Source organism: Homo sapiens, chromosome 4 (genome assembly GCF_000001405.40).
Source record: "Homo sapiens chromosome 4, GRCh38.p14 Primary Assembly".
Classification (NCBI taxonomy): domain Eukaryota; kingdom Metazoa; phylum Chordata; class Mammalia; order Primates; family Hominidae; genus Homo; species Homo sapiens.
Window position 1 is genome coordinate 16,477,390 of NC_000004.12, and position 13,223 is coordinate 16,490,612.

The 13,223-nt window shown below is 40.2% G+C and overlaps 2 long non-coding RNA genes across 3 annotated transcripts in view; one reads left to right on the forward strand and one right to left on the reverse strand.

Annotated features, from left to right (window-relative positions):
* Positions 1-13,223, forward strand: part of LOC105374505 (uncharacterized) — a 190,382-nt gene that overhangs the window by 116,525 nt on the left and 60,634 nt on the right. The window lies entirely within an intron of this gene.
* Positions 3,842-10,600, reverse strand: LOC124900675 (uncharacterized). The gene is made up of 2 exons (XR_007058071.1): positions 9,963-10,600; positions 3,842-4,143 (listed from the first exon to the last, which is right to left on the reverse strand). It is a non-coding gene; the product is annotated as an uncharacterized LOC124900675 (long non-coding RNA).

Sequence of the window (13,223 nt, forward strand, 5' to 3'; positions counted from 1 at the left end):
GACTAGGTCAGATGTCTGAGAAGTTGTGGGGACCACATTTTTTTATTCAAGCAGTGCTAAAGAAATAATATCTCTTAGAAGAACTATTGATCAGCATTTCATGATTTGATCATTATTCATTCTTAACCTCTCTATGCTGCAGTGTCTTGATCTGTACAGTGGGAACAAAAATAGCATCTACCTCAAAGGTTTGTGGTGAAGATTGAATAAAAAATTAATTAAGATATATTTTAGAATGGCATCTGGTGTACAGTAAGTGCTTGAATAAGTTAGTGATTTTCAATCATATTAATTACTTTCTTCCAGCAAACCTATAGCACCTACTCTGTACTGGGCATTGTGGTAAGACCTAGTGTATCAGTCAGGCTCATAGTTGCAAACAGCAGAATCTATTGTAGCTAATTTAGGCAGAAAATGAATTTTTCAAGAGATATTGCTAGCTGATAGAATCTCTGGTGGGACAGCTACTGGCCAATAGTGGTAGCCACAGTGCCAGTTTCTACTGCAGGATTGCTCTAATGAACCTTCTGCGGCAACCACTGATAAGAAGCTCCCTAGCCTGCGGCCATTGCTGAAAGTCAGACATCCATCTTGTTGGAAATGGATTCAGCATGGTTCCCTGCTTTGGGACACAATATCTGAACATAAGGCTCCCACGAGTTCATCTGACTGGGGGAGACCAGGTCACATGCCTAGCTATTCTAGCTGCAAGGGAACCTGGTAAAGTGAGTTTTAGGATTTTAACTTGGGATAAGACTCTTTGAAAGCCATGACAAATGTCCACTAGACCTAGCCTCTGCCATGGAAGAGCACAGTCTAGTGATGAGACAGGGGTATAAATAATTATAACATTGGGAGTAGGGAGGTTTGTATTATTATCCAGCACATACCTACTCTCACACCCCACAAAGAGGGAGCCTGCTTAACTTTAGACTTGGTGATGTGACCTGCTTTCATTTATGCAATTGTGGGTGAAAAAGATGGTTTGGTAGCTCCAAGCAAAGGTTTTAAGAGGTATTTCAAATTTTCTCTCAGATTTCTGCCCTCTACCATGAGAACTTCACATTTATGATTGCAGGTGGAAAGTAGACTCTCCTTCAGCCTTGACACTTAAATTGAGAAAAGTTGTGGGTCAGACCCCAAACTCAACCACAGTCTGGCAGGGCTATAGCATCAAATCCACAGGTATAACATGAGTGAGAAATAGTTATTTGTATTTGTACGCCTTTAAGCTCTGGAGATTGTATGTGATAAAGCATTATTATAGACAATGCTGACTTATACAAGGAGATAAAGGCAGATACAGGTATATATACCAAATGCTGGAGGAAACTTAGAGGAGGTGATAATTAACTGGAGACTTTTAGGAATGCATCACAAACGAAGTGACCTTTAGGAAGAGTTTTGCAGGCATTTAGGATTTGTCCAGGAAGAAAAGCCCAGGGAAGGAAATTTCAGGATGACATATGCATATGCAAAGGCACAGAGAATTAAAGTGGTCAGACATGTTTTCAGAAATACAATGGGTTAATCCCAGCATATCCCAAATTGTAGTGATTTAAGTATCTTGTGTTATCTTTTCAAACCAGCAGTACAATTTTACTTATTATCTTATTGAAATCAATTTACCTTCTTGCTCTGCTCCCAACCTTAATATCGTTCTAGACAAAAATATTTGTAAAATCTCAAGCCTGATATCTTAATCATTTTTTGAATACATACTAAAATACATGCTTAACTATTATAAGTATAAAAAATAGTTTTCTATGTGTCACCAATGTTATGTGCCCTGTGTTGTCTCTGACTCTGCTAGTAGACTATGAAATATGTCTTCTTCCCTGCTTTATAGTAATAGAAATACATTTTGTTTGAGGAAGCACTGTGCCCAGTTTAAAAATGCTCACCTCTCCAAACTCCTTTGCAGACATCCCTTGAGTTGCCTGTGTGACCAAATTCTGGCCAATAAAATCTAAGTTTACTGGATGGTACTGGATAAAATTTAGTTGGCAGGTGCCTTTTGCATTTTCATCATCCTATCCCTTTCTCCCTTTTCTTCTTTTCTGGAGCCTGGATTCAGTCCCTGGAAGTGTGGTAGCCACCTCTGTGAGGATGAAAGGAATATGCTGAGTGGCAGAGCAGAAAGCTAGACGAAGCCTGGTCCCTGTTGCCTTCATTTTGCAGGTACTGTAGCCCTGCCTGCAGTTGAGCCATTATAGACGAGTGTTCGTTACATGCAGCGTAATATAATCTTACCTGACACATACGTTCTGGCAAACCCTGGGCTAGAGTATAGCGTTCAAGTCTGCGAGGCCAGGAGGTAATTCTGGGAAGGCTGGCAAGGGCCACATCCCAAAGATGCTTGCAGAGCAGACAAACAAGTTTTATCTTTGTTTGTTTGTCTTTTGGCAGACAATGGAGTGAAACAATTTGGAAACCAGGGTGTCATAGATTTAGGGCCCCGTCCAATCACCCGGACTATTTTTAGTTCTTTTCCCATTATCGTGAAACTCATATGGGAGCCAGAAAATCTTATTATTTCTGGACCTAATTACATTAACTACAAGCTGGGAAAATCACAGAAGGTCTAGACTTCACTTTGTTCAACTGAAAAATGCCATAGATCCCTATATTAGTTTCCTAGAGCTCTCATAACAGAGTACCACCACCTGGGTGTCTTAAATAGAAGAAGTGTATTGTCCCACAGTTCCAGAGGCCAGAAGTCCAAAATCAAGATATTGGTTCCAAAGCAGGATTGGATCCTTCTGAGGGCTCTGAGGCGGGATCTGTTCCAGGCCTCTCCGAGCTTCTGGTAGCTGCAGGCATTCCTTGGCTCTGTCTTCACATCATTTTTCTTCTGTGTGTGCCTGGCTCTGTGCCCAAACTCCTTTTCCTAAGGATGCAGTCTTATTGTGAATGCTCTATTTTAAAATAAGGTCACATTCACAGGTAATGGGGATTAGAAGTGGAACAGCTTTATGGAGGACACCATTGAACCCATAGCAATGCCCATCTCTCAGAGTTGTGAATATCACATGGCATGCATTGGCATGGGTTGGAAAACAAGGCACTGTGGGAGGGTGGAGAATTGCGCATCATGTGTGCTGGTGCATTGATGGAACAGAACACAACAGCCTGAAGAAGTGGAATGTGAAAGAGGGACACTGGGTCCTGATTCTGTCATGGACATTGTCACCAGCTGGTGACTGGGAGCCACTTTCTCGCTTTCGTCTCAATCACTGTGAAACGATAATAACCTCAACTGGCCTCTCTCTGCCTAGTTTCTGATACTGTTGGATATTCTGGGCCAGCCATTCGAACTTTCACAGAAACTTTCCTTCCCCAAGGTTTTCTGACTTTAGGCCTTACCTTAGCCGAGTGGGCTGTTGCTGAGGTCTGAGTATCAAAATGTACAATGGTGGTAATGAAAGTAACAAGCTTATAACAATAAAGCCAATTGGACCACTTTTAGAAAGGTCTAAGATATTATTTGTCTAGCTGATGAGAGGATTAGCTTGAGCAGAGAAGGTTTCTGTGGAGCAAAGAAGTTGATTAACTTGGATGCTAGAGAATTCTCTGTAGTGTGAACTCTGTTTGTTGTGGGAAAAACCTTGAGTAAACAAGTAGTGAAAATGTAGGACAAGCAATTTTATCTTTTATTCCTAGAGAAGGGGTCCTAGTTCTTGTTCAGTTTCTTTAATTGCTTTATGAGGAAGATTGTTTCTTGAGAGTGAAATGTTTTAAATATTGCCTGGATTTAAAATTGGGTAAGGAGGTCAGCACTGCCTGACCCAGCTTAAATTTCCAAAGGGCCAATCACAAGTATATTGCACATAGACTCAGCTGGCTGCAAGGCAGAGATTTTATTTTCAAGATGACAGTTTCATTTCAGTTCATTTCACCCACACTTGGAAGGGGAGAGAGCTTCCTATGAAATTAACTGAGCACCATTTCTTATTTCATTTTTGCTTTTCTAATTAAGGATTCAGGTTTGTGGCTGCCTTTCCAGCCAGGTTCATGTTGAACTGGCAGACTCAGCTGTTTAGAAATAGAACTTGAGCTTTGAAGTTCAATATTTCTTGGTTCATTTCCAGGTTCTGCTGCTTACAAGTGCTGTGGCTTTGGGTACTTAATCTCTGGATTCAACTGTAAGATAGGAAAAATAATTACATAAAATAGCAAGTTCTAATTGACCTGTGGAGTAAGGTGCCCAGTAAATTTGTAATTTCTGTTTTTCCCATTACGGAACCTTCCTCCCAGGATTCTGTTCTTCCAGATGAAACTTGAACCTGCTAGGTTTAGCCATTTAGCTATGTATCTATCCATGTATTTATGTATCTATCTATCTATCTATCTATCTATCTATCTATCTATCTATCTATCTATCTGTCTATCTATATCATCTATGTATGTATGTATGTATGTATCTGTCTGTCTGTCTATCTATCTATCTATCTATCTATCTATCTATCTATCTATCTATCTATCTCTATTCTTCCATGCATCCATTCATATTTTGATCATTCCTTCTTCCTTTTTCCTATCACCCAAACTTATTCTTCCTGTATTGTGTCCCATTAGAGGCTCTTTGTATATCTGAAACTTACCTAATAAACTAATTCATGGGAATGTTTAAAGGCTTAGAGAATAAAACATTTTAAAGCTAGAAAGAGCTTTAGAATTTTAGTCCAAATATCTTAATTTACTTATGAAGACTGTGGAGTAATTTGGGCAATGGTTCATGGTTTAGTGGGAATATCATACTAATTTGCGTAGGTTTCCCAGACCTCAAATGCAGTGAAACTAAACAGATGAAACATTTTCCCATACTTGTATTTTACCATGAGGAAAGATGATGGTGATTATGATGATGGTGGTGATTATGTTGATAACAACAACACACATTCTTTTTAGCCTTTCTCCTGTACCTAATATTACACTCATGTAGTACCTCATTTTATCCTCCAAAAATCTTCTTTGATGCATATATTGTGATTTTATAGATGAGGAAACTGATATTTAGAGAGGTTAAGTAATTTGCCTAAGGTAATACAGCTGGGAAGTGGAGGAGCCAAGATTTGAACATTACTTTGAATTTAAAATTCAAATTTAAGCTCTTAATCTCTATCCTCTTCTGCTGGCATAATCAGGCCAGAAAGTGGTGGTGGTGATGATGATGATGATGACAATGATATCACTGAATGTTTATCGAGAATTTACTGTATACTAAGCACACAGTAAATTAACACATATGATCATGCATTAACACACTTAATCATCACACAACCCAATAAGGTCAATGCCTTTATTGTCCCATTTTTTGAATATGGATATGGAGGCAGAGAGAGGAAGTTAAGGATCTTGCCCCACAGCTAGAGATGGTAGATTTGAATTACAGCCCAGCTATTGTGTTCTCAGAGTCCTTACTCCAAACCACTGCTCAGGGCAGTTTGTTTTGCAAAGGCAGGGAGTGTGGCAGACTGGGGTATGAAGTGGGCAGCAAGGTTGTCTACATTTCAGGTTGCACACGGGAATGCACCATGAATATATCCAGCTAATGAAATTATGTACACAAAGGTATTTTGTAAAGTCTAAATCACAATCATGGTTACCATTACCTATTCTCAGCCTTGCCTAGGACATGGCCAACAACAGCTCTGTTTTACCAGTGAGGTCTGAGTCACAAGGACTTAGTGTTTGTCCCTGGGATGAGAATCCCATCCTCTGAGAGCTCATAACCAGAACAGTTTGGAACCAGGGCAATCTCTGTGGCCTGAGTGTCCATAGAGAGCCAGGGAGACAATGTGATTGGGTGAAGATTAAACTATGGGAATAATCTTGACTTCTTGCAAAAACAATATGGCCCACTTACATTATTTCTGATACACAATCAGTTCTTTTTTAACTTTTTCAATGTTTCAAAGTAAGGATAGTGGGATAATCACTTTCTTCATAATTCTACCAGAAGCCAAGGGGCAAATAACAACCCATTTGCTCTCTAGCCTCAGAACTGGGGAGTTGTGGGATCTGGCATTAAAGGGTGAGCTCTGGACACATCAGAGGAGCCAATTATTATTCAACAATTATTAGTACAAACTGTATTGATCAGGATCTATTGGGAAAACTGATACATCAATCATTTCAAAGTGGAGAATTATTACAAGGAATAATTAAACAAGTTAACGGACGGAAAGGCTTAAGGATCACACTAAGATAACACTCAGCTGGTAACTGCAGGATGCTGCTACACTGCTAGTGGCTGGAGCAACAAGAAAGAGAGAATGTGGTTCTTAGAGCCTAGTGCTGCCAATTCCAATACAGAGGCCACCAGCCCCACGTGGCCGTTGAGAACCTGAAAAGCAGCCAGCCTGAATAGGGAAGTGCTGCTATAAGTGCGAAATGCACACTGGATTTCAAAGTCCTAGTGTATAAAAAAGCAATGTAAAATATTTCATTAAAAGTTTTAAATATTAATTACATGTTGGAATAATAATATTTTGGGTGAGTTGAATTAAGTAGCATTTATGGTTGAAATTAATTTCCTCTGTTTCTTTGTGTCTTTTGAAAAGTGGCTACTAGAAAATTTAAAATTACATAGGTGATTTTAATTTGTAGCTCTCATTATACTTCTGTTGGACAGCACTAACTTAAAAGCTTGGAGCAGAGGCCCCATGTTTCAGAAACCCAGACCTCCAAGGAGGTGAGTGGGATGATGGCTGGTGCTTGAATCTCAGTGAAGGGGAGTGACCACGCTAATTTGGGGGCATGTTGAAAAACCACAAATGGGAATCACTACTCTATCAGGGTCAAGAACTTTTGCTTGGGTGACAATGATGAAGAGGAAAGACACAGGAAGGTATGTGTCCTTTCTTTCTCCTCTACATTTCAGACTGTCTCCGCAATGCTTCTTATTAGCAGAACCCAACAGGGAATCAGATGGCAAAAGAGAAATGTTTGCAGAGTTCCAGCATCTGCCTCACGACCGGTGTAAGAAAGGGTGGGCTTGGCATTAAGAGTCAGTGGTTTAATAACCAGCATGACTGGCATTGCAAAAACTACTTATTTCTCAAGAAAGCAGGAATTCTAGATTGCTTTTTAATGCGAAATTTTCCTAGTTCTAACTGATAACTAAATATTTTCTTAAAAATTATACAGTCTAAAGAAAGTACATCTGTAGGTTCCGTTTCTTGTTGGTAATGATCTGGGGACCATGGTCTGGATGTCTCAAGATCCCATGCAGCTCTGACTTCTATGTTTCTATGAGCATTTGATATGTGGGTAATAAAAAAATTGAAGTTCCCTGGGGAGAGACCACTGTGGGCTGTAGTCTAGGAAGACTTCCTGGAGGAGGAGAGGCCTGGAGTGAGTTCTTGGATATTCTTACCAGTAAGCATGCCCTTATACAATACCCTTAGTCCATCACTGGCAGCTTTTTCCTTTGCTTGCCCCCATGTGTCTGCAAATACTGGTCGGAGAGTGCCAGCATTGTTTATAATCAAGGGTGGGGTTTGCCTGGGCCAAAAGCTGAGTTTGTTTAGACCCAAATAAGGCATCCCATTGACAGCCTCTCCAGAGTAACTTGGAGGCAAGTCATGACTTTCAGATGCGGGTGGTGTTGGGGGGATCTTGAAACTGCTCAGGAAAAATGGCTCTTTGTTGAGTTATTTCTTGTTGTTCATATGAAACGGGGGTGAATCTCAAAAGTATACGTTTCCATTTCTAAATGTTGATGTTTGTTTAGTGATAAGGAAAGAATAAGATCATGTAATAAATCTTTCAGAAATTAAAATGCTAATGCCAGTCTTTAAAGTTTGATAAGGAAGAACCTTTAAGTATGCTTGTGAAAATCTAATATGGAATTATTACTGGCATTTTAAAACTCTTTAAAAAATTTCAGCCTGGATTGCAATGTATTCCAGGCCAAGCCCTTCTCTAGGGAAAAAACAATGGGTATGCAACTGTTTACAGGAGAAAGTTGGTGCAGATACACTGATGAATTCCCATCTGACTTTAGTTCTTGAGTCTTGCAGGAGCCCTTCTCTTGGCTGTTCACTCCATCCAGCCATCTCCACTGGAGCCCACTTAAGGAACTTTTCCAACTTCAGAACTTACGGTTTACAAAATCACTGCAGCCCCTAATGTCCTGGGACTTTCAAACTTCTGTTTGTGTTTTAGTTTGTGCCCTGTGGCTACATAGCTTGTTGGAGGCTACTTCTAGGAAGAGCTCACAATGGAGTCTTTACAGGCTTGACGTTCACTAGACCTTGCAGTGTTAGACACTTTGCTTTGGAATCAGGTGCTAAGACTAGTGATATGGAGATGCAGTCAGGCCTATTGCCTGAGCTCCAGCTGTGGACAGTGCATCAGCATAGGAGCCAAAGGTGACTGACCCTGAAGAGTGGCTGTGGGATGGCCAGCCACCTGCTGGGTGGCCTGGAGTGAACTCTAGCTAACAGAGGTGCTCCATGCTGAGTGGTGGCAATGTCAACCATCCAATTCCTATCTTAGCAGAAATATAAATTTATGATAAATGAAGAGAAGGTATCTCATTCCAGATTTCTTTCTGTAGCAATGATGAGTTATTTCTTTGATTTTTCTGTTGACCTACTGTGTACTCCAGTGTCAAAAGAGCTGAAACTCAATGGTATAGTTGGTTTGTTCTTTCATTCAAGTGTTTATTAAGATGCCTAATATGGGGCAATCACTTTACTGGAGTCTAGGGATACAGCTATCCACAAAACAGTCTTTGCTATCATGGAACATACTCACTAACATTGGGAAAGGAAGGTAGTAAAAACACAACTACAAGGTAGTATGTAAGTTCTGTGATGGAGATAAGTACATGGTAGGTAGTATGTAAGTTCTGTGATGGAGATAAGTACATGGTAATATGGAAGCACAGAGAAGGGGTCACTAGCTTGGTGTAAGGGTGTTAGGGAAGCTTCCAGAGGAAGTGTGGGGCAAAACAAGAATTGAGCGATGTATAGAAGTTAGCCACAGAAAGGGGGGGCTTTCTATGCTACCTAGACATCTTTGCAAGAAGCCTCCAATTCCAAAGGTCATCTATGCATGACTTTGGATCCCTGAGCAGTTTTACTCTAATTGACCAGCTCAGAGTTTGTAGCTTAGTGGCCTTAGGAGATCAGTCCTTGGTGTAAGGAAACTGATCCAGGCTTCTCACCGTATCTCCAGCCCACACGTTAGATGTGACTGAAACATGTAATGAAGCATCCAGGGGCAGTCACCATACAGAAGTCAGAAAAAAATGATGGATAACTTGGGCCCCTCACTGACCCCTGTGAATGGAAGTTCTGAGCAGAATTAGATAGTCCAATACAGAAAATAATGTGGCATGCTCTCTGAAATGTAACAGCTCTATTTCTATACTAACCCTCCCCTTAACTAGCCAACAATTTTGCTCTAAGGGACGAGATAAACCACAAACTTAATTCTATTCAATTCCTCATCTTATATCAAGAGTTAGTGTAAAACTCATCTCTTCTCCAGCCAGAAGAACTATCTCTTTCTCTCTGTGTTTCCATAGCACATGTTCTGTGTTCTTTAATATCATAGCCTTTAATCTGTGTTCTGCTTGGGAAGTGGGGAGGTGACTTATGGATGGCTTTGAAACTCTCAGTAGATTGAGTGCTTCTGGAAGGCAAGACCTATTTTTTGTCTTAAGGTCTTGCACTTAGTAGGAGTTCTAAAAATAATTTTTGAAATGAATTGCTGAGAGACTTGAAGTATAGTCACCATCTTCTGGACAGATAACTTGACTTAGGAGCACTTTTCATGCTTACTTGTTTTTGGTTGGGAATGTATCTGCAGGTGAAGAGAATACTGGAAAGAATAGAAACTTTTAAAGGGTTCAACACATATTTTTTCTCAAAACTTGTCTGGAAACCTGCATGACATCTATTGCAAAAAACATTAGGATTCTAGAGAGTTAAACTCTATGCTGTTACCTGTGTCTCGTGCTGTGATGCTGTCAAAGGGCTACTTTCCTGGGTCAGCTTCTTAGGTGACTCTTATAAGAAGAGGACAAGAGCTATTACAGTGGAGCCTGCAAAAGAGCATGCACTCAATACTCAATGTTAGTTAAGTCCTTATTCTCATATTCCAAGTCTGGAGAATTAGGCTTTTATCGGTGAACTCCCTTTACAAAATATGCACGCTTTCCAGGCTCTCTGGCTGCTGCTGTTCTCCCTTCGTCCCCAATACCACAGGCTCTGAAACTTCACCATTAATTACTGATTCCTTTGTAATTAACAGAGCCCTGTATTAAGAGACAGGTTCCCTCTCCTGCAGGGAGCAACAGTTCAGCTCCAATGAATGAATCTCAACAATCATTTTTGTTGTTGTTGTCAATATGAGGGCTTTGGCCTTAGAGGACACAGAAGGAGTATGCTGCCTTGAAATACATCATGGTATTGGAAATTCAAGTCTCAGTACAAAGAAAGTTGGCTTTCCTGGGAAGCTGATTTGTTTTTATTTTTGGGCCCTACTGTTGGTGGGCGGTGGGTAATAGAACCCACTAAGATAGTGCTTCTGACCTCACTCTACCCTCCTGGATTAGTCTGTTCTCATGCTGCTAATAAAGACATACCCAAGACTGGGTAATTTACAAAGGAAAGAGGTTTAATGGACTCACAGTTCCACATGGCTGGGGAGGCCTCACAATCATGGTGGAAGGCGAAGGAGAAGCAAAGTCATGTCTTACAAGGCAGCAGGCAAGAGAGAGCTAGTGCAGGGGCACTCTCATTTATAAAAGCATCAGATTTCTTGAGAGTTATTCATTATCATGAGAACAGCATGGGAAAAACCCTTATGATTCAATCACCTCCCACCAGGTCCCTTCCATGACAAGTGGGAATTATGGGAGCTACAATTCAAAATTTGGGTGGGGACACAGCCAAACCATGTCACTTCCTGTCTGGGCAGTGGAGTGACTTACTGGATCAATGAACTTGAGAAGGGAAAGTGAGTGCAGCCTCTTCCCAACTCATTGCTCTTATGAAGGCAGCACGGGTTCTGTTTGGTTTGCTGTCATATGGCAAAGTAGGCCTCTCTGACAAGTCTTCAGGGCTGCAGGGCCACCTCTGACTGGCTGGCTAAGTCTCTCCAATTCAGTTTAGGAAGGCTTCCTTCCTGCATACATCAGCCATATTTTCCACGTCAGCATTGTCAGTAGCACTATGATATTTGAATATTTACGTAACTCAACTCATATTCAACTTAAATTGATACAAAATTTTGTCAGGAAAGTGGCTCCTTTTATTGATTAGAATCCCTCTCACTCTAACATATAAAAATCACAATTCATGATTCACCCTTTGCCTTGATCTTCAGGAAATTTTCAACCCAAAACATAAGATGGTTAACAAGTGTAATGATACACAGCAAAATATAAACAAAATACAAAGGGACTGGTATAATTTTTCTTTTCCTTTTTTTTTTTTTTTTTTTTTTTTTTTAGATAGAGCCAGTGAAGTCCTTTGGCCAGGCATGAATAAAAGAACTGTCTTTATTTGTTCTTGTCCCAATTTCTCTTCATTTGTTGCTCAGGTTCTGCTGAGTCTCACAGGTCTGTCTCTTATTACTTTTATCCCGGGTTAGCCACCAGCATATGTGCTTTTCTTTGATGATAGACATAATATGAAATTACAGACAAAAATCTTGATTTCTGCATACTATTGTTTAAAAATGCAACTTTAAATACAGACACTCAATGAAAAGCATTTCTGAAAAGGTGTTGCTCTAGGCAAGGGTTCCCTCTGTTTTGTGATAGTACTGTTCCTCTCTGTCTCTGTGAAGGTTCTACCTCTGCCGTTCTTCCTTTTGAGTCTCGTTAACACTGTGTTTATTTTACACTCCTCCACAATAAGAGCTGAGGAGTGGGAAAGCAACCCTTCGACTGGGGTGTGATCTGAAAATGGATTCCTCCTTTGAACAGAAACTCAGAAGTGATTACAACAGCTGTAAAAATGATTAAACATGCTTTTCCCTCTCCCAAACACAGCAGCTGGAGTTTTATTGTTTAACCAATTCATGCCCATTGTTAGAGAGTTTACAGTTTCACCTCCCCAAGCCTCAGGTTTTTCCTCCATGAGGGACCAAATATAGATTCTCTGGCCTCTGAGTCCTTTATTTTTCATTGCTTCCTTTCTAAGTGAATCAGGTATCCATGGAAACAACCGAAGATTAATACTCAAAATAGACAATCATTCATTTCTCTCTGAACCATACAGCAAAAATAAAGATTGTTTTAGCCACAATTTGAATTCTTGCAACAAATTATGAAGTTCAGTTGCACAATATAGGTAGAAAGGAAGAGGCTATCCCTCTAAACATTTTTTTAAAAAAATATCTGAGTGTAAAAATCACAGAAGGCCAGAAACAGTATGTTTATCTTAGGTAGAAGCATCAGCTTTCATGAACACTGGATCTGGTCACTTAATGAAACCTTTTAAAATTAGGTGCTGTTTGACTTCAATGGAACTGAGGTGCCAACTGTATTTTTGTGCTAGTGGTGACCCAGCTTGCCAAAGCTCCCCTACTGTGACCTGGGCCCTGTACCTACAGCAGTTGTAGGTAGGTTCTAGCCTGCTATCTTGTTTGCACTCTTTGTGAACCACCTCATCATCTAATATCTCAGTTATTTATCTTCTTTTTCCCCCAACTACATTCCCTGGGACCAATATTCCGAATGGTCTATCTGGATCACAAGCTGTATTTTTGGCTACAGGAGAGCAGAACAACTGATCTCCCCAAAGGAAACAAGACTGTTGTCTAGTAGAAGAATAGGGAATGGATACTGCAAGGTTGGAAGACAATCCATGTCAGTGACCAGGTTCACATGAGATAGCATGTGCAGATGTGGAAAGACAGCACAGAGCCATGAGACAAGGAGGTACATGGTTGGCAGAAGTAGTGGGGACTGCATTAGAATTCCTCAGGCTGTAAAACTGGGAGTTTGAGCCTAGGTAGATGACTGCACCTGACATTTAAGAATTGGTAGATGACTGTTGTTAGACACTGTATTGTTTTGACTACTAGTGGGGCAGAACATTTGTTGTCTATTTATTCATGATTTACAGTTCTATAATTTTCTAATGTTCCTTGTCTACTTTCTCTTATAATTTTTTCCGATAAAGCAATGCTTTTTATTTTAATAACAATGATAACTATTTGCTTGGTAGATTTGTGATAATTCTCCCAGTTAATAA